This window comes from Homo sapiens, chromosome 9, assembly GCF_000001405.40.
Source record: "Homo sapiens chromosome 9, GRCh38.p14 Primary Assembly".
NCBI classification, from domain to species: domain Eukaryota; kingdom Metazoa; phylum Chordata; class Mammalia; order Primates; family Hominidae; genus Homo; species Homo sapiens.
In genome coordinates this window covers 111,675,171-111,703,126 of record NC_000009.12, presented here as the reverse complement: position 1 = coordinate 111,703,126, position 27,956 = coordinate 111,675,171, and the positions used below count along the sequence as shown (strand labels likewise).

Sequence of the window (27,956 nt, the reverse complement as noted above, 5' to 3'; positions counted from 1 at the left end):
TTGTTTGTTTGTTTTTAGAGATAGGGTCTCACACCATTGCCCAGCCCGGAGTGCAATGACACGATCATAGCTCACTGCAGCCTCGAACTCCTGGGCTCGAGTGATCCTCCTATCTCAGCCTCCCAAGTAGCTGGGACTACAGGCACGCTCCACTGCACCCAGCTAACTTTTTAATTTTTTGTAGGGACAGTGTTGTGCTATGTTGCCCAGGGTGGTCTTGAACTCTTGGCTTCAAGTGATCCTCTCACTTCAGCCTCCCAAAGTGCTGGGATTATAGGCATGAGCTACTGTGCCTGGCTGGCAAAACTGTTGTAATCCAATTATATAACTTATTGTTAGAGGAAGGTCATTTTTTGAATTCCTTAATGTATCAAAAATTACTTATGTTAAAGGAAAAGGAGATTCCATACCATTAGGTAGAGATTCCCAGAAAGTCCATTAACTGCTGCTTTCTCATCTCCTCTGAATAACCATGCAGTGCACATCATCTCATAGGTTTTAAACATATTTTCTGTTGCCTTTAGAATGACCAGATCCTAGTCCACAAAGGACTTGCATCCACAAAGGACTAGGATCTGATTATTCCAAAGGCAATAGAAAATTGGACTAGCCTATGGCGTGCCAAACTAGGGGCACTCCATAGGCTACTTTCTTCATATCTAGGACCTCGGGAGATTCAGGAGCCTTCCTTGCTGAAGCTGTCATTAGGTGTTTTATGTCTACTATAGCTTTTCTCCTACTACTTCCTGCATGATTTTAATTTTTCCATGAAATGGGGGCTCATACCCATGCCTCTTTTCAACTTATTTATATGTCATAGATTCTTGAAATAATGATAACATAATTTCATAATAACTGTTCAACCTAATGAATTTTTACATTTTCTTTATTTTCTGATAGGATCTAGAAGAATTGAATTATGAGAAGGCATCAGACAATATCATTATGAGGCTGATGGCATTATCATTACAGTACAGATATTGTTGGATAATTTTATATACCAAAGAAACATTAAATTCAGAGTAGGTAAACATTTCTTCATCCAAAGTTATGTTCGTATTTCTTAATCCTAAGTCCTCTTATTTGAATGGAAATGGCTATGCAATTTTCTGCATGCTCATCTAGTTTGCTTTAAGTCAAGGATTTTCAAGCTGGAGGTATGATCACAGGAAAACAAATTTGAATTTTGGAGATGATACGTTTCCCTGGACATTCTGTGAAAGCCATCCCCCTTTCCCCCATCTCACTAAGAATTGCTGCTTTAATATTTTATTATTTTGTAATTCTGGACTTGTCTGATTTCTGTCTAACTACTGTACTAAATTTTTTGTATACACTTGTTATCAGGTTGGTATAAGTTCGAACGTAAGAGTCTAAATACCTTGTTTTTTATTCCTCCTTCTATTAACAAATAACTTCTACCAAGTGATTTAGCCTGGTTTTTCCCTTCTACCAGAACTGAAAAATAATATTTCCGGTCTAAAACCTTCATTTTGAAGAATAATAAAGGGCGTAAAGCATTTTAAGCTTTGAACTTTCTTGTAAAGCATTTTAAGCTTTATCTGGAACTTGGAAGTGTTCTGGATAAATAACTTATTTGGAAATTTTTAAAAGTTGTTTTAGATTACTGTCTACCTATGGTTCTAGTAGTGCAATTGAGGTACAAGGGAGAATAAAAGGAGATTCAAACTTATTTTTACCCAGATTTTCATGAAAATAATTATCTAATATTCTGAGATAGTTTTATGTTCAAGATGTAAAGAGTGAATAAATATTCACAATCATATATTATAAAATATAATGATTTCAGACCTCTAGATATCTCAGATTCATATTTTTAGAGAATTAGAACATTTAGGAAGTATCTTAATCAACTGACCAAATTAGGAAAACTGAAAATACAAAAGAAATTGTTTGAATTATGTTAGTGTTCATGCCATTAATTCTTGTTTGAGTAAGAGTGTCAGGGGTCCCTGAGACCATACTAGGTTTGATAGTTTGCTAGGAGGACTCAGTATATAGCTGTATTCATGGCTATGATTTATTATGGTGCAAAGTTACAATACAAAGCCTATAATGCAAAGTCAGCAAAGGAAAAAAGCTCATGGGGCAAAGTCCAGAGGAAACTAGGAGAAAGCTTCTAAGAGTCCTCTCCTAGTAGAGTCATACAGGATGTGCTTAACTTCCTCAGCAACAAACAGTTATAACACTTGTAAAATTTTCTCTACCAGACGAGCTCATTAGACACACATTGCCCAGGGTTTTTTTTAAGGGCTGGTCAAGTAGGCACCCTCTGCCTGACACTTAATCAAAGTTCTAGACTCTAAGAAGAAAAGCAGATGTTCAACAGAAACTACATTGTTTGTCAACAGTTTAGGCACAGTGTTCTTATCAGCTTCTTATATGGAAACAGCTAATCTGAGAAAGAATCCAAAACAGGAAAGAAGAGCCGAGAAATAAAGAGAGCCATTATCTTGATGGTATTGTTTTGAGTCCCAGAATCCAACAATGGCTTCCTCTGGACTTCTTCATAATATAAGCTAGTAATTTCCTCTTTGTTGCTTAGGGTACATAAAGTGGGTAAAGGTAGTAGAAATATCTACCCACCATTCAGCACTTACATCTGACCTGCTTAGTAACCACAGAAGGAAAAGAAAAAGATGCATTTTCTAACAGTTTAGGGAATTCTGGGAGGATTCCACGTATCCTGGTTCTGGTCATGTGTCCATGTCTGAACCTGTTACTTTGACCAGGGGGATGGAGTATTCTAGTTGGCTAGGATTTGGTCATAAAGCCATCCCTGGAGTCAGGAAAGGGATGGGTTAAGTTCTTCCCACAACTCACACCTCCCCTAACACACATGTATCCCGTAGATTTGACAGTATTATTAAATAATGGAGATGGAGATGTTTTTTCAAGAGTACAGAGTGGAAAAAAAAACCCCACAAATTTGCCACACTAGTATTGTCTTAGCTAGGTTATTCTAAAAATATTATGAAATGTGGAAAACAAAATGAATTTTTAATAAATATAATCTGATATCAAATGAATAGAAATATAGTAATATAATTCTTTGTAGGTATCTGCTTACAGAAAAGACACTTCATCACCTAGCACTGATTTATGCAGCTTTGGTTTCATTTGGGCTAAACTCTGAAGAACTGGATGTAAAGGTATTCTTTTCCTATGTGTTTCTTCATAAGTATTTTTTATAAACCAAAATTATACTCAAACTTAAGTGCCCAATGAGAAAAAAGTGTTAAGCAAATGAATTAAAAACTGTTTAAAAGCTAAATAAAGAATAGTTTTCAAATTAATAAACATTTTATCATTATTCTGTTCCAAAAGGCTTTAATTTAATGAATTTAAAATCATGTTTCTTCTCTTTATTACTACTCAGATGTTCTCTAAACATAGCAGGATATGAATAAAAATAAATATCCCTTGATTAAAAATGTTCCTTATGAAAGATGTACTAAGCTTGTATCTGCTGTAAATGGAACTCTTAAGACATATACTAGGGTAATATATTGGTGATCTCTAATCAGTCTCTTCCCTTGGCCCCCTTTTTCAGTGTCCCACTCTGAAATTTAGACATTTGTCCAAGTTCAGGGCTCAGCACTGTTCCATTATCACATTACATTCTTTTCTTTATAAACTTAGAGATTCCCACAGATTTTGCTTTCATTTCTGAGTATAATTCTTAAATTTTTCCTGACATTTCTTAAGGTCTGCACCTGTATTCTAGCAGACTACTGGGAATCTCCACGTGAATATCCAACAAGTACCTCAAACTCTACATGTCCAAAACACAGCTTCTCATCCTCCCACAAGCTTAGTTTATGGTATCACTATTCTAATTTAATTAGTAGCTAAGTCTTCTTTTTAACTCTGCAGTGTATCTAGAGTATGTCTCTCCTTCTACTTCTTCTAGGCCTAAATTCAGGCCTTCACCACCTCACACTTGGATTTTTAAAGTAGCTTCCTAACTAATATCCCTTTTCTACTCTTTCCCCACTTCATCACATATAGACACCAATTACATTTCCGAAATACAGCTGTGAATATTTCACTCACTAGACTATAAGCTCCTTAAAGGTAAGGAAACATATTTATTCTTTTTTTTTATTCCTGGAACCTAGCACAATGCCAGGTACATAGTAGTCTCTTGATAAAAATTTGCTGTTGATTTGAATTTCTTGCTCAAAGACTGTCCATAGCTTCCCACTTAAGTCAACATAAAGTTCAAACTCAGCTGGATTCAAACTCCTCCACAATGTGGCCCTTAGTGATTCCTTCTTTAACATTATTTTACTCACCATTTACTGAGTATGCCTCCATACTGTCACCTCTCAGCCTTTGCACAAACATGTCATTCTGGCCTGCCTTCCCCCAGGAATACTATTCCCCGATTCTCTTACCACTAGCTGTCAGAGTTCTACCTGTCTTTCACTGCCCAGTTCAAACGCGCTACCTCCTTTAAGAAACTTGCCCCACATCACGCTACCTGACTTCAGACTATACTACAAGGCTACAGTAACCAAAACAGCATGGTACTGGTACCAAAACAGAGATATAGACCAATGGAACAGAACAGAGCCCTCAGAAATAATACCACACATCTACAACCATCTGATCTTTGACAAACCTGACAAAAACAAGAAATGGGAAAAGGATTCCTTATTTAATAAATGGTGCTGGGAAAACTGGCTAGCCATAGGTAAAAAGCTGAAACTGGATCTCTTCCTTACACCTTACAGAAAAATTAATTCAAGATGGATTAAAGACTTAAATGTTAGACCTAAAACCATAAAAACCCTCGAAGAAAACCTAGGCAATACCATTCAGGACATAGGCATGGGCAACAACTTCACGAATAAAACACGAAAAGCAATGGCAACAAAAGCCAAAATTGACAAATGGGATCTAATTAAACTAAAGAACTTCTTCACAGCAAAAGAAACCTACCATCAGAGTGAACATGCAACCTACAGAATGGGAGAACATTTTTACAATCTACCCATCTGACAAAGGGCTAATATCCAGAATCTACAAAGAACTTAAACAAATTTACAAGAAAAAATCAAACAACCCCATCAAAAAGTGGGCAACAGATATGAACAGACACTTCTCAAAAGAAGACATTTATGCATCCAACAGACACAAGAAAAAATGCTCATCATCACTGGCCATCAGATAAATGCAAATCAAAACCACAATGAGATACCATCTCACACCAGTTAGAATGGCGATCATTAAAAATCAGGAAACAACAGATGCTGGAGAGAATGTGGAGAAATAGGAACACTTTTACACCGTTGGTGGGACTGTAAACTAGTTCAACCATTGTGGAAGACAGTGTGGCGATTCCTCTAGGATCTAGAACTAGAAATACCATTTGACCCAGCCATACCATTACTGGGTATATACCCAAAGGATTATAAATCATGCTGCTATAAAGACATATGCACACGTATGTTTATTGCTGCACTATTCACAATAGCAAAGACTTGGAACCAACTCAAATGTCCATCAATGATAGACTGGATTAAGAAAATGTGGCACATATACATCATGGAGTACTATGCAGCCATAAAAAAGGATGAGTCCATGTCCTTTGCAGGGACATGGATGAAGCTGGAAACCATCATTCTGAGCAAACTGTCACAAGGACAGAAAACCAAACACTGCATGTTCTCACTCATAGGTGGGAATTGAACAATGAGAACACTTGGACACAGGATGGGGAACATCACACACCGGGGCCTGTCGTGGGGTGGCGGGAGGTGGGAGTGATAGCATTAGGAGATATACCTAATGTAAATGACGAGTTAATGGGGGCAGCACTCCAACATGGCACATGTATACATATATAACAAACCTGCACATTGTGAACATGTACTCTAGAACTTAAAGTATAATTAAAAAAAAAAAAAGGAGAGAAAAGAAACCTGCCCCAATCCTACTCTCTCAGGATGCATCATCTCTCCTCCCATTCTCCTGCTGACAGTTCATATCTTATTATGGTATGGGGATATTTATTCATATATCCTCCACCCTGATGGGTAAGAATGATGCTCTTTTTATTTGTAAAACCTAGCAGCTAGCATAGTGCTTTGCACAAAGCAAAAACATTCAATAAATGTCTACTAAGTGGAATTCAAAGTACCACTTGCTAAGAAAATCAACAAATGATCTGTTTGAACTGGAATTCCAGATAATTTTGTTTCTGTGCTGCATACTAAACAGAAATAAAATTCTTAGAAAAGTTACCTAAAGTGAATGACAAATGTAAATTTGTCTCTAGTGAGGTCTTACCACTTATTTAGCTTCTTCTCTTCCCAGCTCAGGGTAAACCATTACAGGCAAAATATGCTTTAGAAAGTTTTTTTCCTCTATGCATGGGGCATATGATACCAGTGAGTGATACTATATTCAAATACAGCAACATGGCCCATGGAGGGCATGATCCAAATAAGGCATTTGGGGATGAAATAGGAGTACCGCCTAGGAACAATCCATTCCAAACAAGTCTATTTCCACCTGGATCAAACTATTCTAAAAGCTTTTCAGGTTTTACATAATAATCTAAAAAGCAGGTCATTTTTTCAATGGACATTGAGAGGCAACTATGGTCAATTTGCTCTTACTCTATTATCAGTATGTCCTCAGTACTCATAAGCCTCCTGTTTTCCTGACTTGATGACATTGTTGTATTAAAGGAGGCTCCCTGGACTCATATTATTTTAGAACATATTGTTGCTTTACCTTACTTTATTTAGTAGCATGGCTTTTGATCTCTTAGAGCACATCAGGACCATTAGCACCTTTTTATTTTCAGGCATCTGAAGAACTTGAAAATCAAGGAAGTATTAGGAAGTTTAAGAACATTTTCTTAAATTAAAAGAAAATACTGCTACTAGTGTTATGCTAAGTGTTATTCCAATTTTTTAAAAGTTCTGTAATTTTCTTATGAACCATCTTTGCAGGAAAATGCATAAATACACACATGCAAAATTTTGCAAACAAATTAAGTAGGTTCCTGAATTCCCAAATCTAGCCATGAGCCCCAGAATTCCTGCCCTAATAAATTAATTGTCATTATCGCCATCATAAAATTATGGCTTTTAACCCTTTTCCCATTTGCCCTGAGAATCCTCACCAGCCAGGCTTGTTGCTGCAGTGTTTACCCTGAGACAACTTTGCCACGAAATATCTCGTTTTTATTATTGTTTTTGCATCGCTGTAGCATATCAACTTTGGAAACAAAAGATATCTTTCTATTTATAGCATTCTATTTTTAGTAGTGGTATTTCCATTACAAAATATAGTAATTCTCAGTCCCTGAAAATGTCAAATCCTAGAAAACATAGTATTCCTACTCGTGATGTTAACATCATTCTCAAACAGTTGTTGGCTGAAGACTCCATTGATGAATCTGATTTTTCTGAAATAGAAAATTCTGATGATTCAGATGATTCTGATGTTATTTCTGTTTAGAAATAACTCCAAGCACAGTTTTTATATTTTATTTTCACATCGAAAATCAGTCAGATTTGCTTCAGCCTCAAAGAGCGTGTTTATGTAAAATTAAATGAGTGCTGTACTTTTTTTTTCTAAATGGGAAAAGGGTTAAAATAAAGTTTATATTTAAATGAAAGTGTCATATCTTCTCAAAACACCCAAAACTAGCAATAAAGTACATTTGGAATTGAACAATATATTTCTGTGTATTCTCCCTATATAATGTAATTTAAAGAAAATCCTTTAAAATGCATATACTCCCCAGGTGTGTACTAACCGTTTTGTATTTGCTATTCTTATAAAAGAAAAAAAGTCATAATTATTTTGTGAGATTTCTACAGTTTACTAAATTTCCACTATAGTACAGGATATTTATTTTCCAGGATATGATTATTTGGGGCAGTATTTCTCTGTTCACGTTAAACTGCTAACTCATGAACTATCTTTCCTTCAATCAAATTTAAAAGATGAAGAAGAAAAGAAAGAAATGAAAGCAGAAAAAGAAGGTTGACATTTCAGAAGAGAGAAGGGCATGGAGGAAAACAGTGTCAGACAGGAAACAGAGGATATTATGAAATTATTTTTTCTGTACTTTTTTTCCTTACTACTGTGCTAATGGGAAAAAATTATTTTTTAGAATTAAATTTAATATACACAAACACCACATTTTTGGCAGGGGTATCTTAGAATCAGTAAGCCAATATTAGATGAGCAATTCCCAAAATGCTGGGAATGATGACTACTCTAAATCAAAACCTTATTTTTTCTTTTTTGAATACAACATCAAATTCATTTATAAGTATCCTTATTTTTTAACTTTGTCTTTGAAAAATCTTGCACTATATTTTTAAAATTCTTATTTTAATTGACAACTATTAGGTTTAACTTTTGGAAACAGCAAAATAGTAATATTACTAGTGATATTCAAATTGCTGATTTTTCTAATATAGTTGAAATATAACACTATATTTTAATGACTCTGTTAATAAATGCCAAATGAAATGAAAATGATTTAGTTCCAAAAATTAAAAATACAAGGATATCACATTTAAATAAGGAATGAAAATTGGTTATCCTCATAAATAAAATGTCCTGGACATAGATAAACCAATAGTTTCTATCTAAAATTAGATAGAATCTGCTGTTGTTTAATTTTATCTTCTAATTACAAACTGTTTAAAAAATATTATATTTTGCTTCCTAGTATTTCCTATAATCTAACATAAAAAATATTTTTTAGCTTATAATTGCCCCAGGAGTAGAAGCAACTGCCTTGATAATTCGACAAATTGCTGACCACAGTTTAATGACCTCAAAGAGAGATCCTCATGAATGGTTGGATAAATCCTGGCTTAAAGTTTCACCATCTGAGGTATATTTTCTAAATGTGTAAAATAGATAATTGCAAAGCAAATATAAAAACCTGTATTTGAATTTACTTTCTGGTAACATTTTTCCCCCAAATGTCTCAAATTGAGTGGTAGGTGCAATAACAAAAGTTTTAATCTGCTGCAACGAGTAGAATAAAATGGATCACTTTCGAAAGACTACTGACTATTAAACTCTTTTCTAGGAAGAAATGTACTTACTTGTAGAATAAAATGGCTCACTTTCAAAAGACTACTGACTGATTATTTCTTAAACTCTTTTCTAGGAAGAAATGTACTTACTTGATTTTCCATGTATTAACCCATTGGTGGCTCAGCTCATGCTAAATAAAGGACCTTCACTGCATTGGATATTATTAGCAACTCTGTGTCAACTTCAGGAACTCCTACCTGAAGTCCCAGAAAAAGTGTTAAAGGTTAGTTATTTGAGATCTGTACTATGATATGAATTTATTTCCTTTCGATTTGAGTATCTATTTTTACAATAGGATTTTTAAAATGAAGGTATCCAAGTTTAATTGTTTTGGACTTCAAATAGCAAGGAAATAATTTACTTGAACTAAATTTCATATAGACGTTTCATTAGCTATCAATTATACATTTTATTTTATTTTTTATTTTATTTATTTATTTTTCCAGGCTGGAGTGCAATGGTACAATCTCAGCTCACTGCAACCTCCACCTCCCAAGTTCAAGAGATTTTCCTGCCTCAGCCTCCCAAGTAGCTGGGATTATAAGTATACATCACCATGCCTGGCTAATTTTGATTTTTTTTTTTTTTTTTTTTTTTTTTGTAGAAACGGGGTTTCACCATCTTGGTCAGTCTGGTCTCAAACTCCTGACCTCAGGTGATCCACCCACCTTGGCCTCCCAAAGTGCTGGGATTACAGTATTTTTTTCTTTTTTTTTGAGATGGAGTCTCCCTCTGTCACCCAGGCTGGAGTGCAATGGCTTGATCTCGGCTCACTGCAGTCTCCAGCTCCTGGGTTCAAGCAATTCTCGTGCCTCAGCCTCCCGAGCAGCTAGGACTGCAGTTGTGCACCACCACACCTGGTTAAGTTTTGTATTTTTAGTAGAGACAGGGTCTTACCATGTTGGCCAGGCTGGTCTCAAACTCCTGACCTCAAGTGATCTAACTGCCTTGGCCTCCCAAAGTGCTAGGATTACAGGCATGAGCCATAAACCCCAGCCTATATTATACATTCTAAAGCTATTTTATACAGATAAATTCAATATAGTCAGCTTTAAATCATTTTGGAATATTATTGTGCTCATAGAAAATTCAGTTATATACCCTATTCACATGTATTTACGTTACCTCTTCCAAACAGTCCTAACATACCCTTAATTCTAGCTGTAAAGATAACTTTAGCCTTACTGGTAATATTTTAAAATTCTTATCAAGGAAATAGTATTCATGTATGAATTGTATAACTAAAATTCTATTGTATTTGCTGTGAGCCTAAAATTGTTCTGAAAAATAGACTATTAAAAATTCTATTACAAGTGATTAGAAAATAAGTATGAATTACAATGAATTTTTCTTTTAATAGAGCCTAATGATTTCATGTTCTTAATACCTGGATCAATGTAATATCTATGAATAGACTACCTATTTATATTTTGCCTTCTTTCCATATAGATAAGCATCATTATTTATATTTACTAAACTGACATTTGCATTATATTAATTCATTTTTTAGCATTTTTGTAGCATCACTTCCCTATTCAAGATTGGTTCTTCTTCCATAACAAAATCACCGCAAATTTCGTCACCTCAGGAAAATAGGAATCAGATTAGTACCTTGTCTTCTCAAAGTTCAGCTTCTGATTTAGACTCTGTCATTCAAGAACATAATGAATATTATCAGTATTTAGGATTAGGAGAGACAGTGCAGGAAGACAAAACCACCATTTTGAATGACAACTCTTCCATTATGGAACTAAAAGAAATCTCAAGTTTTTTACCACCTGTGACTTCATACAATCAGACCAGCTACTGGAAAGACTCCAGCTGTAAATCTAATATAGGGCAGAATACTCCTTTTCTAATTAATATAGAATCAAGGAGACCGGCTTATAACTCCTTTCTAAACCACAGTGATTCAGAGTCAGATGTCTTTTCTTTGGGTCTAACACAAATGAACTGTGAAACTATAAAATCACCAACTGACACTCAGAAGAGAGTGTCAGTTGTCCCCCGTTTTATAAATTCTCAGAAAAGGAGAACACATGAAGCAAAAGGTTTCATAAATAAAGATGTATCGGACCCTATCTTTTCACTAGAGGGCACTCAATCTCCTCTTCATTGGAACTTTAAGAAAAATATATGGGAACAAGAGAATCACCCGTTCAACTTACAATATGGTGCACAGCAGACTGCATGTAACAAATTGTACTCTCAGAAAGGTAATTTATTCACTGATCAGCAAAAATGTCTATCAGATGAGTCTGAAGGCCTCACATGTGAAAGTTCAAAAGATGAGACTTTCTGGAGAGAATTACCATCTGTCCCCAGTTTGGATTTATTTCGTGCTTCTGATTCTAATGCAAATCAAAAAGAATTCAACAGCCTTTATTTCTACCAAAGAGCTGGAAAAAGTTTAGGACAGAAAAGGCACCATGAATCTTCATTTAACTCAGGAGACAAGGAATCATTAACAGGTAACACTATCCAATAGTTGATAAAACTACTCTCAAATTTAATTTTAAAAGATAAAATCATCTCCAAATTTAACATTTTTTTTGTTTTAATTACTACATTTAAAAAACTTCTCTAATAACTGTTGGGTAAAAGAGAAAATCTAAACTCTAAAATAAATGCAGAGAAAATATATTGTGTTAAATTATTATAACCTTAAGTGGACTAAGCATTCAACTTAAGAAGTTAAAAATAAAAGCAGTGCAACTCTAAGTAAAGCAGGAGACTAAAATCAACAAAGATTAAACAGAGGAATCAGTGAATTAGAAAATTAACCTCTTTGTGGAGCAGGTATATTTAACTGACTAACGTTTATTAAAAGAGCCTAATTAGGTGCCAGTCTCCATTCTAAGTGCTTTATTGGATTATTTACTTTAATTCTAACAATTCTATTAAATAGGCAGTATTATTAGCTCCATTCTGGTGGATGTTTTTGAGTTGTCTGAACATTTAAGCATATCAAATTTTTAAAAGCACAATTTAATTTTCTTGTTTCTAGTGATTCTAGCTTTTCTTTCAGTGTCATTTCTTACTGCATTGGCCCAAGCATCTAAAACAAAATATTAAGTTCTAACAGCCGTACAAAGGTGGCCTTCCCCAGGATAGGAGAAAAAGGGGAGGGCGGGGGGAAGCTTAAGTTTCAAACTTCTCTTTTTCATAGGTTTTTTTGTGAGGCCTGAGAGGGGCCAAGAAAATCTTGTATTTTTTGTTTTGTTTTAAAAAGGGCTCCCAAATTGTATAAGCTACAGGACTTGTAATGCTTGGATTTGCTCTTATTTAATACTTACAACTTGTTTTGTTCCTCACTTTAATGGGAAGTATTCTGTGTCTAGTTTTGTAAAAACTTCTGTGAAAAATAGATGCTGAATTTATTCAAACTCATTTTAGTACATATTGGGAAAAATCAAATGTGTTTTCTCTACTGACCTATTCATGTCAAAGATTATATTTACAGGTTTACTAATATTAAAATATCTATGCCATTTCTGTGATAAACATAACTGGTTTTTGAGGGGTGATTCTTTATTTTTATATTTTTGTTTTATTTAATATTTCATGCTACCTTGTCTAAGAGATTTTTTGTTTCTTTAAGACAAGGTCTCCCTCTGTAGCCCAGGCTGGAGTGCAGTGGCATGATTGGTTCACTGCCACCCCCACCTTTCGGGCTCAACCGATCCTCCCATCTTAGCCTCCCAAGTAGCTGGGATTACAGGCATGCACCACCATGCCTGGCTAATTCATTTCTATTTTTAGTAGAGACAGGGTTTTGTTATGTTGTCCAGGCTGATCTCGAACTCCTCGGCTCAAGTAATCTACCCGCCTTGGCCTCCCAATGTGCTGGGATTACAGGAGTGAGCCACCTGGCCCGGCCTAAGAGATTCTTTTAATATGCTGTTAAATATGGTAGCTAATATTTATGATTTTCATGTCTACATTCATGATATTAGATTGTGTTCTTTATTTGTGCCTTATCACATTTGGACATAAAAGTTATGCTAACTTCATAAACTGGATGAAAATTTCATATTTTTCTACTCTGAAACAAAATACACATGTGAATTACTATATGTTCTTGAACACAGGGCACTCCAATATATAACCTCCCATTTTCCAATGAGAAGACCCAGAAGTCATTTTTAAATAAATTCTAACATTAAATGTTAGAAAAAGCTTAAAGCTTTTAGGTATATGAGTAGAATAGTCAAACAGCTACCTATATTTTAATTCATTAATTTAGTTATATATTTTTAAATCACATACTCTATAAAATAATATCAGTTTAGAAATATTAATTTCTTCCAATTTCCAAGTTATTTCCATGAAATAATTTTATTCAAACAGTTCACATGACTCTTTGATACTAGTATCTACATTCAATATGGCAAATTTTATTTAAATTAAAAAAAATTTATTTTTCCATAGTACATCATTACCTCCAAATACATTGTTTAAGATACAACACTTTTTGAATTAATATTGGCACAGCCCTGGAAAATTTATCCAAAGCCATTAGCATAACCCATAACCTCAAGATAATTTTCCATTTGTCCCGAAGTGTATATATGGGATCTCTATGATATAATTACTTACTACATTGCTTTATTTTTATTTTTTGGCATGTCTGTTTGACAAAATACATTGCTTTTTAAAATAATAATAATAATTATTATTATTATTATTATTGACAGAGTCTTGCTCTGTCACCCAGGCTGAATCATCCCTCCTCCACCTCTTGAGTAGCTGGGACGAAAGGTACGCACCACCACACCCAGCTAATTTTTGTATTTTTTGTAGAGGCAAAGTCTTGCCATGTTGCCCAGTCTGGTCTCAAACTCTTGGGCTCAAGCAATCCGCCTGCCTCAGCCTTCCAAAGTGCTGGGATTACAGGTGTGAACTACTGCACCCCACCCTGCCTTTTAAACTTTTAAATAATGGTACCCTAACTCTTGGCAATTATGAGATTATATCCCCAGGGATAATTATTAAAACTGTTTTATAATTTTTAGTTTTCCATTTTACTGATTTCATAATCAGCCTCTGTAAGTATCCAAATCTAGGATTTTTCACGTTAATGTATCATATTTTAAAAAGCCATATAAGGTGAGTTCTTATATAATCACCACCTATCATTCATCAGGGCTCAGAATAAATTTCACATTACAGCTGTGGGTCAAGGATCAAGCTATGAGGGAAAACTTAAAAGCAAGAGTATTGAAAATGGCATGTTAAAGACTCTAGAATGGAAGCTGAATATGAGCTACTAATACCATTTTTAAATATGGTATTTTAATTTTTATTTTTTTCTTAATTGATCTATTATAAATTTTTTCTTTGAGCCAAGAGTGGGGTTTTTCTCATGTTGTTGGTTTTTTTGAACTTTTGTTATTTCTGACAACTGCATTGTTATCAGTTTATTATTTACTCCTTCCACTTATTAATGATGATTCTTTATCTGACTTGGCAAGGATATAGTGAATTTTGCTCATAATGTCCAAAATGCTGGTAATCTCTTCAAAACTGTTTTCATCTGTGAATGTACTTGGGACACTTTGTATTGGTTAACTGGAAATTTGTATGTGCTTTATAATTGCACATGTGGATACTAATATAGGGATAACTATATATGGATATCCATATATAAATAATATATGGATAATAAATTGGAGTTATTAAATAGGTGCAAAATATACATTTATTTCATGGGAAAGCTTCCTGGCAGCTATAGAAAAAGAAATTTAAGCATTTTTAGAAATTTTAGAATTGGCTGTGAGAGATTGATATCCAGAAAAAAACATTGTTTCTATCACATTGGTAGCTTAAAATCAGCCATGGTGGGTGTCTTCATACCACAAAAATTTGCAGATGCTACAAACCAGGCCTTTCCTTGTTTCGAGAGCTGGTTGTTAAACGTTTACCAGAATGCTACTGGTAGTCCAGGCTCTCCCACAGCTTTACAGTGAAGAACCAAGGTCCTGTCGTCATTAATATTCCCTGTATTTCATCTAATTGTTTACTTAAGGATTCTTTAGCTCCTTAATTGGAGTTAAAGATTTGTTTTCCAGACATGCCTTTAAAGACATGAATTTACAGATAGATTCCTAAACACATAACCTCTCCCTGAAACGAAATATGTCCTTAGTGAAAATGATATCCCCCTAAAGGGTGTATGTTCATGAGAAGAAAATTAGCCCAAGTGAAAAAAAGCCACAGTCAGGAATAGGAAGGGCAAACTGGAAAAGAAAAAAGAAAAAAAAAAAGAAGAAGAAGAAAAACCGGACAGAATTGTATACACTCTCACCACAAAGATGGATACAAGGTACACGGAAACCAGGCAATATGTCTTTGTTTTAGGTTCAAAGTCTGTCAAAATGAGCCTCTAACTTATATCCTAATTAATGAGGACTTATTGGAAACTTTCAAGAATTAGGAAGCCCGGCCTGAGGTGCTTCCCAAACCATTTTGGGTTGTTTTTACTTAAAAATGTTAGAAGAGAATTTAGAGATTATGAATTATAACTTTTCATTTCACAGAAGAGAAAATTGAAACCAAGGGAGATTTAAGTATTTGTACAAGGCATGAGCATAAAAATATATGCATTTATCACTAATTTTTAATACCGGGCCATTAGGTACAGAGGCATTTATGTTAAAAACATACTTTTTAATAGTTATTATTTTATCCCAGTTTGGAAATTTTGACACTTTTTAGGTAGATGATGAAGACACAAAATCCGTTTGAATAGTGAGGAAAACATACCTATACTTCAGCCGGGCATGGTGGCTCATGCCTGTAATCCCAGCACTTTGGGAGGCCGAGGCAGGTGGATCACCTCAGGTCAGGAGTTTGAGACTAGCCTGCCCAACATGGCAAAACCCTGTCTCTACTAAAAATACAAAAAATTAGCCGGGCGTGGTGGCAGGTGCCTGTAATCCCAGCTGCTCGGGAGGCTGAGGCAGGAGAATCGCTTGAACCCAGGAGGCAGATGTTGCAAGTGAGCCGAGATTGCGCCACTACACTCCAGCCTGGGCGACAAGGGCAAAACTTCATCTCAAAAAAGAAAAAAAAAAAAAAAAGGAAAAGAAAAAACCTATACTTTACTATTGTAAGCAATAAAATGGTTTTCCTTTTTCTCCTTTTAACAGGTTTTATGTGCTCACAACTACCACAATTCAAAAAACGACGTCTAGCATATGAAAAAGTCCCTGGTAGAGTTGATGGGCAGACTCGGCTGAGGTTTTTTTGAAGGAGGAGAAGAGCAATGTTACATGCCATATTCCACTGTTTTTGATGCTAATCCACTAGCGCAATTATTTAGATTTGCTCATACACTAAAGAAAACACAATTGTTCATATATGTCTCAGTATTTCTGTATTAAATATTCATAATATGTATTCTGCCCTATGGTTTGCATCTTTGTAAGTTAAATATTCTAATTTATCAATTAGCAGAATAATTATCATAAGATCCAAAATGTCTTCCAGACACCCCTGCACACAGGCCATTTAAATGAGTCTCCATCACAGTCTGACCCTTTGAGTCAGGAAGTGAAGATCATCACAGTTAACCCTCCCACATCAAGAAAGTTAAAACCTAGGACAAAATTGAAGTTAGAAAACTTCCAACTTAAAGTATCATTTTCTGTAAACACAATTTAAGAACAAATTACTAAGAGGAAATATTTGCAACCCAGATAATAGGAAAAAAAGTTTACATTTCTCATATATAAAGAATTCCTACAAATTGATAGAAAGAAGACAACCTGATAGAAGAACGGGCAAAATATATGAACAGATATTTCCTCAGAAAAAAACAAAAATTGTCAATAAACATTTGAAACACAATGAAGCTTCATTACTTATTAGACAAATGCAAATTAAAACAATGTTACTGTTTTTTCACCTATCAGGTGCCAACATTTTTGAAAATTCACACTATCCAATTTCTACATATTGAAGAAAAGAACACTTTCCTATATTGTTTGTACAGCTTCTTTAGTGCAGTTTGTGTAAACCCACTAAGAGGAAAAATGCTCCTATCTTTTGACTCAACAACCACATTTCCAGGAATCTGTCTTAAAGAAATATCCAATTACACAATGAAATGCCATATAATTTGTAATAGTTAAAAATTATAGACAATAAAAATGCTAGCAGTAGGGGAATAGATCAACAACTTAGACTGTAGAATATCATGAAACCATTAGAAGAAAGTAAGTCCGTGTGCTCTGACAAGGCAGGATGCCCATAACATAAAGTAAAAAAAAAGGGAAAAACAATATATAAAATATTATATGTTGCACAACTCCATTTCTGTTTTTTAAAAATAGACCTTTGAAAATTCAAAAATTTTCCAAAATAATCACCATATCAGGGAACAATGTGGGCATAAGATGAATTTCACATTCTTATATGCAATTTTGTTCACAAGAAACACTAGGTGAACTAAAAAATGACACCCAACTGAAATAAGCTGCATAGGAATACACAAAACACACATACACACCACAGTTCACAGGGTCATTGAGCCACACAATGTAGCTAATGCCACATTTGGTGTCTCAACTTTTGGCTAGATAGTCCACCTGCTACCATCTCACAGTAACTCGCCAGTTGCAACTTGGCTAAGCAGCTTCCTACCTTCCCCTTTCTTTAATTGTTCTCTACTTTCCTCTCAGGTCTCTGCCATTTTTCTCTATTTATTCTCTCACTCTTTTTCTATCTCTCTTTTGTTCTTTTCCTTGAGCAGAAAGGGTACCGGCCATGGTCGCTAGGCAGGGCTGGCCAGTGGGACAGTGGGGCCTACAGGCTCAAGAGCAAACTTTGAGTATTTTTCAAGGTAAGGAGCCATATGTATTATAGTATTTGTGTATTCCTTAATCATTTAACATGTTTAAAACTGTGCTATCATTTTCATTAGGTTTCTGTCTTTTTTACTGTCACTGGCAAAATTTTTTAATATTAAGTCCCAACTCCATTTTCCCATAGGCCCTGTGGTGGTTATTGTGTGATTTGATATAACTTGGTGATTTTTAGGAATGCCTGTGTCATATTATAGCAGCACTACTGAATACATATTCTTCTTAGCAGCTGCATAATATAATCTGCCATAATATATTTAATCATTCTCTCACTAATGAACATTTAGGTTGACTCCAACTTTGGCATGAAAAATATATGGACAGATATATTCTCAAACTTTCAACAGTGGGAGATAGAGTAGTAAATACAAAGGTTGTCATTCTTTATACATTTGGATATATTTTGAAGGTACAGCGGAGGAATCAGGGATAGCACCAAGGTTTGTGGCCTAAGAATGACATTGTCATTTATTGCAATGGGGAAGATTATGAGAAAGGTATAATTTACAGAGCTTGGGAGCTCAATTTTTGGGCAAGTTAAATTTGAAATACCTACTAGACTTCCAAGTGGAGTTACTAAGTAGGTATTTGTATTATGTAAGTCTCAAGTTCAATAGAAAATATAAATCTGGGAAGTATAAATTTGGGAGTCATCAGAGTATAGATGATGTTTAAAGCTATAAAAATGGATAAGATTACCAAGGTAGTGAATATAAACAGAAAATAGAAAAATTTCAACCACCAAGCCATGGGACAACATTAGACAGAAATAGAAGAAAATGGAAAGGAGATTGAGAAGAAGGGATCAGTGATGTAGGAGAAAAACCAGGAGATTTCCTGAAAGCCAGATGAAGAAGATGTTTCCAGAGGAGACAGTAATCGGTTGTGTCAACTGCTATTGACAAATCAAGTGAGAGGAGGAAAGAGAACCACTGGATTTACCAATGTGGAGCTCTTTGGTGATCTTGATAGGAGCAGTGTTCGGAGCAAAGGTGGGGGCAAAAGCCTGATTATCATAGATTCCAGAAAGCACAGGAAAGGAAAACAGGAGATAGGGAGTTTAGACAACTCTTTCTGAGACTTTTGCTGTATAGATGAGAGATGGGGTATTGGCTAGAGGAAGAAGTCAAGACAGGGTAGTTTTAAAGTAGAAAAATCTCACAGTGTTTGTAAATGGATGGGAAAATTCCAGTACAGGAGCAAATGCTAATGGAGATAGAGAGAGATGTGCTGGACACAAGTCCCTGGGAAGGTGAAAAGAGATGGGATATAGTGCAGAAAAGGAGGGAGTTGGTCTTGGCTAGGACCATAGAGAGTTGATCCACAGACATAAGAAGAACCATTGAGATTATGGGCAGAGATACAGGCAGATGTGATGGGAGATTATGGCCATTCTCTTCTGATTGCTTCCATTTTTTTTCCTCTTTACTTTTCTGTTTTCTTTGATCAGAAAAGCAGAACCACTGAGAGTTATAGAGTAAAGAGTTTATTATAAGGATTAGGCCTTGTACAAATGTGGGAACTGGTTTAAAAGTTATGTAAGACAGTTGTCTTTGCATCTGGTGTTGGGCCTGAAGTCACTTCAGGTCAGCCAAGCTCATTGTCAGGAGAGTTGGAAGCAAAATGGGGAAGATAAACTGGAACTTGCCAGGACAAACTAGAGTCACTTTCAACCTCAGTGATATGAAAGCGAGGAAGCTGAGAGTGAAGAAGGAGAAGGTATTGGAGATTTGAGAAGAAATAAATCATGAAACAGTCATCTAGGAGAGTGAGAGAGTGAAGGGAATGGGGAACTATAGGGTATGTTTGCCCGAAAATATAAAGATCCTCTTAAATTAGTGATCATGACTCTAAAGTGAGAGCATTAAGTAGGTCACAAATGGAGGAGGGGTGCCCACTAGAAAGGAGGAAAACAAAGACAGAGAATTGCATTTAAAGGGCTGTGGTGCAGGCGCGGTGGCTCACGCCTGTAATCCCAGCACTTTGGGAGGCAGAGGTGGGCGGATCACGAGGTCAGGAGATCGAGACCATCCTGGCTAACACGGTGAAACCCCGTCTCTACTAAAAATACAAAAAATTAGCCGGGTGTGGTGGCGGACGCCTGTAGTCCCAGCTACTCGGGAGGCTGAGGCAGGAGAATGGCGTGAACCCGGGGAGGCGGAGCTTGCAGTGAGCCGAGATCCCGCCACTGCACTGCAGCCTGGGCGGCAGAGTGAGACTCCATCTCAAACAAACAAACAAAAAAGGGCTGTGGCTTAGTCAAGACTGTGTAAGGAAGCAACAGTGAGAGTGGGGCAAGGGAGTTGACAAAGTATGCAAGGCAGTGACCATAATAATGATAATGTTATAATGTTAACATTGTAAATGGGACACAAAGTACATTTTATTATAAACTGAGCTGTGCATATAACCCCTATATAGAGCTTTCTCTAAACCATGTTCAAAACTCTGAGGCTAAATCTGAAGTCCACATGGGGTCTCCCTTCCTTCCTCCCCTCAACAATGGCCTTCCCCTTGACATTTAAATGTACTTAAGCTTCTGAAGGAAGCTTTTCTAGACTTCATATCCTCTCCAACTACTCCTGCTCTGTTCTCTTTCACAGCTGAACTTCTCAAGATGATATATATCAGAAGTCTTTAGACTGAGGTACACCTACCGTTAGGGCATATTACAAAGACATTTCAAGGAGTGAGTACATGGGCACCAACAGTTTTAAAAGAGTAAATTTCCAGTGCTTCAATTTCCACAGGCACTCTTTCCCAAGCCAGAGAACACACCTGAGACCTACCCATCACAAGGGTTCTTTTTTTCTATCCTCCACTTTTACAATTGTCCTTCCACTTTGTGAAATAAATATATATCTGTCACCCATCCTGAATCTTACTAAGCCAAGACCTAAGATCTAAATACTACCAGAGCAATAAATAAAGGAATAATTTGAAATACTGGGATCAGCAAAATCTCCTTTAAACCACTGTAACATCCCATTCATCTCACTAAGAGATGCATTTCCATTACATCTACTTTTTAAAATTTAAATAAATTTTCTTTTTCTTTTTTTTTTTTTTTTTTGAGACGGAGTTTTGCTCTGTCACCCAGGCTGGAGTACAGTGACGTGATCTCGGCTCACTACAACCTCCGCCTCCTGGGTTCAAGCAATTCTTGTGTCACAGCCTCCCGAGTAGCTGGGACTACAGGCGCAAGCCACCATGCCTGGCTGATTTTTTGTATTTTTAGTAGAGACAGGGTTCCACCATATTGGTCAGGCTGGTCTCGAACTCCTGACCTCAGGTGATTCGACCACCTCGGCCTCCCAAAGTGCTGGGATTACAGGCGTGAGCCACCATGCCCAGCCAAAATTTAAATAAACTCTCAATTTTAGAATAGATTAACAGAAAAGTTACAAAAATAGTATAAAGAGTTCCCAAATATAAAACACCAAATTTCTCCTATTATTAATATCTTACATTACTATTACTATGGTACATTGGTCACAACTAATGAACCAATATTGATACATTATTATTAACTAAACACCATCCTTTATTCAGAACTCATTAGTTTTTCTTTAATGTCCTATTTATGTTATAGGATCTCATGTAGGATATATCCTTATATAGGATATATATACCCTCATGTAGGATATATCGTTAGATTTAGTCATCATATCTCCTTGAGCTCCTCTTAGCTGTGACAGTTTCTCAAACTTGCCTTTTTTTTTATGACCTTGAAGTTTTAAGGAATACTGGTCAGGTATTTTATAGAATATTGCTCAATTTGGATTTGTCTGATGTTTTCCTCGTGATTAGACTTGGGTTATGTGCTTTGAGGAGGAAAACTACATAACGAGTTAAAGTTTCATTCTCAATACATCATATCAAAGGTACATGTTATCAACATGACTTATCACTGATTATGTTAAATTTCGTCACCTAGATAAGGTACCATTTGCCAGGTTTCCCATTAAAAAGTTACTCCCTACCCTTTTCCATATTGTACTTTTTGGAAATAAGTTGCTAAGTGTAGTCCACACTTAAGGGGTAGGGATTTATGTTCCACCTCCTTGAGGAAAGAGTATCTATATAAATTATTTGGAAGCTTTCTATACCGGAGATTTATCTCTTCTCCCCCAATTTATTTACTTATTCAATTATTTATTTATATAGTACTTGCTCATAGATATTTATGTATACTAAGCGTTTGCTATGGTTTGAACATGATCCCCAATAGGCAAGTGTTAAGAACTTAATTCCCAATGCAACAGTTTTGAGAGGAAGGATTTTTAAGAGCTTATTAGGCTCTGCCCTCGTGAATGGATTAATGGTATTATTGCAGGAGTTAGTTAGTTAGTACCATAGGAGTGAGTTCCTGATAAAAAGGATGAGTTGAGCCCCCTTTCTCTATTGCCCTATTGCACTCTCTTGCCCTTCTGTCTCTTCCATGGGATGACACAGCAAGAGGGTCCTTGCCAGATGCTCGTGCCATGCTTTCGGACTTCCCAGCCTCCAGAACAGTGAGCCAAATAAATTTCTCTTCATTATAAATTACCCAGTCTGTAGTATTCTGTTATACCACATAAAATGGACTAAGACAGGTTTATAATCCAATATGACATTTTAAAAATATTATTGGCCAGGCGTGGTGGCTCATGCCTGTAATCCCAGCACTTTGGGAGGGCGAGGAAGGTGAATCACTTACGGTCAGGGGTTCCAGACCGGCCTGGCCAACATGGTGAAACCGTATCTCTATTAAAAATACAAAAATTAGCCGGGTGTGGTGGCATACCCCTGTAATCCCAGCTACTTGGGAGGCTGAGACACGAGAATCTCTTGAACCCAGGAGGCAGAGGTTGTAGTGAGCCAAGATTGTGCCATTGAACTCCAGCCTGGGCAACAGAGTGAGACTCTGCCTCAAAAAAAAAAAGAAGAAGAAGAAAAAATATTGTTAAAATTATTCCAGGTTTAGCCACTGGGAGCTCTTTCAGTTTGCTCCTATGTTCCTTAGATAAATCCCCACCATTTAGGGTTTTGACCACTTCTTTACTTTCTCACATTACAAGATATCAAGACTCATCTAGTATATTCATTGCCCCAGCTCTAGGATCAGTCATTTCTCCAAGGAGCTCTAGTACCCTTTATTGGAGAATGGTATTAGCAACCAAAATCTGGGCACTGGATATGCTCATTGCTACTGGAGTGTCCTTGCTCTAAGGCCCTCTGAGCAAACAGAGCTAGAAATAGATGTGTTATAGTTATCTCTGTATAGACACATATCTACAAGTTTATCTACATCTATCCATCAGTATCTATATTAAGATAAACATGAGCTTGGCTGGGCGCAGTGGCTCACGCCTGTAATCCCAGCACTTTGGGAGGCCAAGGCGGGTGGGTCACAAGGTCAGGAGATCGAGACCATCCTGGCCAACATAGTGAAACTCCGTCTCTATTAAAATACAAAAAAATGAGCTGGGCATGATGACACATGCCTGTAATGCCAGCTACTCAGGAGGCTGAGGCAGGAGAATCGCTTGAACCAGGGAGTCGGAGGTTGCAGTGAGCCGAGATCGCGCCACAGCACTCCAGCCTGGCGGCAGAGCCAGGCTCCATCTCAAAAAAAAAAAAAGAAAATAAAGAAAAAAGAAAGATAAACATGAGTTCGTTCATTCTTACGTTTGTATTCTAATCCAGTACCACATGGTTCATTATAGCTTCCCTGCTTGCTTATCTGTAAACCCACACCCCACTCCAACAGTGAGACACTTAACTCCCACCATCCTCTATCCATTTACTTTTTTGTTCAATCCCAATATACATCTATGGTAGGTTCAGATTTGTTAACCCATACCCCATGAGAAACAACTTCACCAACTAGTGTACAATGCTTATGAACAATCCATTTGTCTTTAGAGTTCCAGTCATTTCCAAAGTCAGCCCCTCCTTTCTCTACCCTCTTAGTTATGTCATGCATTTGTAATATGTATTTTTTTTTTATATTATCAAAATTTATAATATATTTATGTGGTTTTGAATACTTGTACTTAAATAAATTGAATTAGTAATTAAGAAAAACGATTTAACTTAGAGTCTTAAGGTCACAAGAAATATTTTTTAATTATTTCAATTTATACCCTATTACAGAGAAGTATGATAGGTTGATCATAAAAGGCTTTCAAGCATAAACATTACATTAGGATTTGCATCAATCTGGGTTCAACCAAGAGAGAAACTGCACAGTAATTTAAATAGGGGAAATTTAATATAAAAAATTTTTAAGCTGTGAATGAGAACTCTAAGGGTACCCTAAAGTTGAGGGAGAGCCCAAAAGAAAGACAAACCTGGTCACCTATTTGAAGACCTCTTTGAAGAAGGTGTGGTTGTAGCCCACTGGACAAGAAAGAAATTTTATTTTATTTGAAGCCAGAATTGGTCCATAATTGCTGGGAAAACAAGAACAACCCTTTGGGGCATTGGCAAGCCAAGGCTGGTAGGCCCGATAAGGCCTGGAGCACACGATGTTCATGACAGGAGGGCTGTGGGGAAAAAACCTTTTGCACACAGGAGAGCCAGAGTTGATGGAGGTGGGGGACATGGAGAGAGTTGTGGCACCACTGTGGGCATTGCTGAAACCAGGAGATAAACAGACTGCCCTCTGTCGAAACCTAACACACTTCTGTGTATAGCTTGGGCTTGGAAAGCTCTGGGCTTTGGTGCAGAGCAAAGGTCAGTTGGCTGGCTTGCTAAATGGCCATCACTGCAGGGCCCCAGCAAGTACGCATGAGGCGCTGAGGATAGGGTATGAGGAGCAGCAGAATGGGCTAAGACTCAGAGCCACATTGTCTGAGGCTCCCAGCTATAGCACTACTGCCTTCATGAAGAGCTAAAAAAAGCTGCGCTTTGCCTAGCATTGGAGAAAACCACGTTAGACCCAGGAAGACATACCCATTCCTTCCTCCTGGAATATCTCTCCAACACCTTCTATGAACAAATCAGCATTATGCCAGTTGGCAAAGAAAAGATATTTAAAGGATCCAGATCCATTTTCACAAAACCAATGAAGTATGACTTTGGAGATGAGAGGCAACAAAAGGGTAATTGAGACAGGATTAAATTTTGTGGGGAAATTAAATTGGAAGTATGATTTTAGAGAAAAAAAAGAATCATGTAAAATTTCTGACTAAAGGAGAGTACGGTTTGTATATTTTTAAATGGATGATGGTAGGTTTCAAATGATGATGGTATTTGTATTCCATTGAATATATTTAAAAGAAGAATGAAATAATTTCATGTTAAAATGCTAGACTTTTAATAAAATTATATATTAAAATATATACTTAAACTTACGATGATATATATAAACTTATGATATATATTATATATATTTAAACTTATGATAAACATTTAGATGCCGACTGTAAAATGGAGGTACACAGGGTTGACATTATTTCATTTAGGTTGCATATAAGCAAAAATGTTTGAAGACCACAAGTATAATCCACCTTTATTTCCTGACTTCTGAAATTATCACCCTATCACTACCATAATTAACCTCTACCTTCTTAGATCCAAAGGACATTCAGACATCACCTTAATTGACCTCTCTTCAGCATTTGATACTTCTTCCTTTTTTAAACAAGCTTAACTTGACTTAACACCGCCTATCCTACTTTCCTCTTTCTACTACACTTTCACCGTCATGCATGCTTGCTACAGGAATACATTCTCAGAAATGCATCATTAGGCGATTTCATCATTCTGTGGACATGATAGAGCGTAATTCACAAACCTAGGTTGGGTAGCCCACTACACACCTAAGCTGTATGGTGTAACTTATTGCTTGTAGGCTACAAACCTGTACAGTACATTACTGTACTGAATATTGTAGGCAATTGAAACACAATGGTAGGTATTTGTGTGTCTAAACATAGAAGGATACAGTAAAAATACAGTATAAAATACTGCATACAGTGTAAGAATACAGCACAAAATATAACATCCGCATAGGGTTCTAATGGGAATTGCTGGCCCTTCAATTCATTGCTGGTGATAGTGATGCTCACCTCTGAGGTCTTTTGAGGGGCTTTACTCCAAGTCCCTAAGCCCAGCCCAAGTCTGCAGGCCTCACCAAACATCAGCTGTCTCTTCCAATTATGGATGGGCATAAGATATTCCTTCCCTTGCCACTGAGACTCAGAAGATAACTGGGGAAAAATACCAGGATGTCCCATTTCCTTGCCTCTCACAATAGAAGACTCCTTAACTACACCCAATAATTAGGCCTGCCCTAAAACAAGGGATCCAACAATTTTAATAAGTAGAGTAGCCTGGGTTGAGGGGGATGAAGAGTGCAAACTATAGTAATCCAAAATGAGAGCTGAGAAAAAAATGGCATGTATTGAGGCAATTATTGGACTTATTCCTAATTCAAACATAATACCCATAAAGAAAAGGATCAATGTGGGGGTCCATTTTGGATCCATGATCTATATTAAATGGCAAAAAAGGAGAAAGTGTATTTGCAGAATTATCTGGTAATACTAAGGGGCCTGCAAAATGAGAAGGTTAAAAAAAAATGTGCATTACATCCTGTAACAATCTAGAATTAAAGGAGCTGTGAGGGGAAGCTTATGCTACTTCTATAGGATGGAATCCCACTGTTATGGGATTCCAAACCATCCTGTTGATAGAAAGTATTTTGGAACTGTTTGATTTTATAGGCAAATACCATCCCTCAATCAGTTAGGGTAAACTTAACATGATATATGGAATTGTTTTGTTTCCACAGACGATTTATGGTGATATTCCAGTCACAATCTTTTTTTAAAAATCTTATTTAGAAATGCTGAGACAAGCTTTTTCTAGGTAAATAACTAGATAAATAAAAATTAAAGGAACTTTTAATAAATATCTGTTTGATACAGGACAATAATCCAAACAAATTTCGAACAAAAGGCTTTAGACTGCAATTTTTGGAAGGGGCAGAAAGAACGCAGTATACCTTACTGAAGAATAGTAGTCATGGCCAAATGTGGTGGCTCATGCCTGTAATCCCAGCACTTTGGGAGGCTGAGGCAGGCAGATCACTTGAGGTCAGGAGTTCGAGACCAGCCTGGCCAACATGGTGAAACCTCATCTCTACTAAAAATAAAAAAGTTAGCCAAGAGTAGTGGTGCATACCTGTAATCCCAGCTACTCAGGAGGCTGAGGCAGAAGGATCATTTGGACCTGCGAGGTGGAGGTTGGGGTGAGGCGAGATCATGCCACTGCATTCCAGCCTGGGTGACAGAGTAAGACTCCATCTCAAAAAAAAAATAATGGTAGTCATTATCAGTCCCACTTGCTTCTCATCAAAGAGAAAAACCATCTCTATGGCAGTTTCTGCACATCTCAGCTCCCATGTGAAGATTTTTGCCATAATTTCTCAGAACCTCTTAAACTGACCACCATCTACCTACACCCAAAGTGTCAACATAACCAATCCACCATTCTTGTCTGCCCCTGCAACTAAATAGAAGCACCTTAACTTAGTAATCAAAAAGCTAGATAAGGGATTCTGGTGTGATGACTTGAGCCTATTTAGTTTTAGCATAACTATGAAGAAAAATGAATTTAATATGAAGGAGTAGGAAATTAAAAACTAAGCCATTTGATTTAGATGACAGCTGACTATCATCTGTGAAGCTGTAAATATCAACTATGTTGAACATGGGGAATATGGGGATATGAGACATGGTATATGGCTACGATGTCAACTCAGCTAAGCTGAAGCTACCACTTCTTTAATGTTATATGGTTGACGCTTGAACAACAAGGGTTTGAACTACCAGGTCCACTCACAGGTGGATTTATTTCAATAACATGTGAATAGAAAATACAGTATTTTGGCCAGGCGGGGTGGCTCACACCTGTAATCCCAGCACTTTGGGAGGCCGAGGCGGGCAGATCACCTGAGGTCAGGAGTTCAAGAGCAGCCTGGCCAACATGGTG

At 36.5% G+C, this 27,956-nt stretch overlaps 1 protein-coding gene across 16 annotated transcripts in view, besides 2 other annotated features; it reads left to right on the top strand.

The window, feature by feature from the left end:
- Positions 1-16,956, top strand: part of SHOC1 (shortage in chiasmata 1) — a 108,767-nt gene extending 91,811 nt beyond the window's left edge. For 11 of the 16 annotated variants that reach the window (NR_109816.2, XM_017014340.2, XM_006716975.3 and 8 more), the window contains 6 exons: positions 901-1,022; positions 3,080-3,173; positions 8,765-8,896; positions 9,179-9,328; positions 10,616-11,576; positions 16,257-16,956. Coding sequence is in view for 15 of the 16 variants with exons in the window: in XM_017014340.2 (XP_016869829.1) it covers positions 901-1,022; positions 3,080-3,173; positions 8,765-8,896; positions 9,179-9,328; positions 10,616-11,576; positions 16,257-16,357 (1,560 nt within the window). In the remaining variant the exon portion in view is untranslated. Of the gene's footprint in view, positions 1-900; positions 1,527-3,079; positions 3,174-4,032 lie in introns of those variants that run through there. The other 5 variants (XM_047422868.1, XM_047422867.1, XM_047422866.1 and 2 more) reach the window with 4 other exon arrangements.
- Positions 24,584-24,878: a silencer, noted in NCBI's record as "tiled region #3205; K562 Repressive non-DNase unmatched - State 23:Low". NCBI's record gives its function as "represses a minimal TATA promoter and a strong SV40 promoter by Sharpr-MPRA in K562 cells {active_cell/tissue: K562}" and the evidence as "EXISTENCE:reporter gene assay evidence [ECO:0000049][PMID:27701403]".
- Positions 24,584-24,878: an enhancer, noted in NCBI's record as "tiled region #3205; HepG2 Activating DNase matched - State 8:EnhW". NCBI's record gives its function as "activates a minimal TATA promoter and a strong SV40 promoter by Sharpr-MPRA in HepG2 cells {active_cell/tissue: HepG2}" and the evidence as "EXISTENCE:reporter gene assay evidence [ECO:0000049][PMID:27701403]".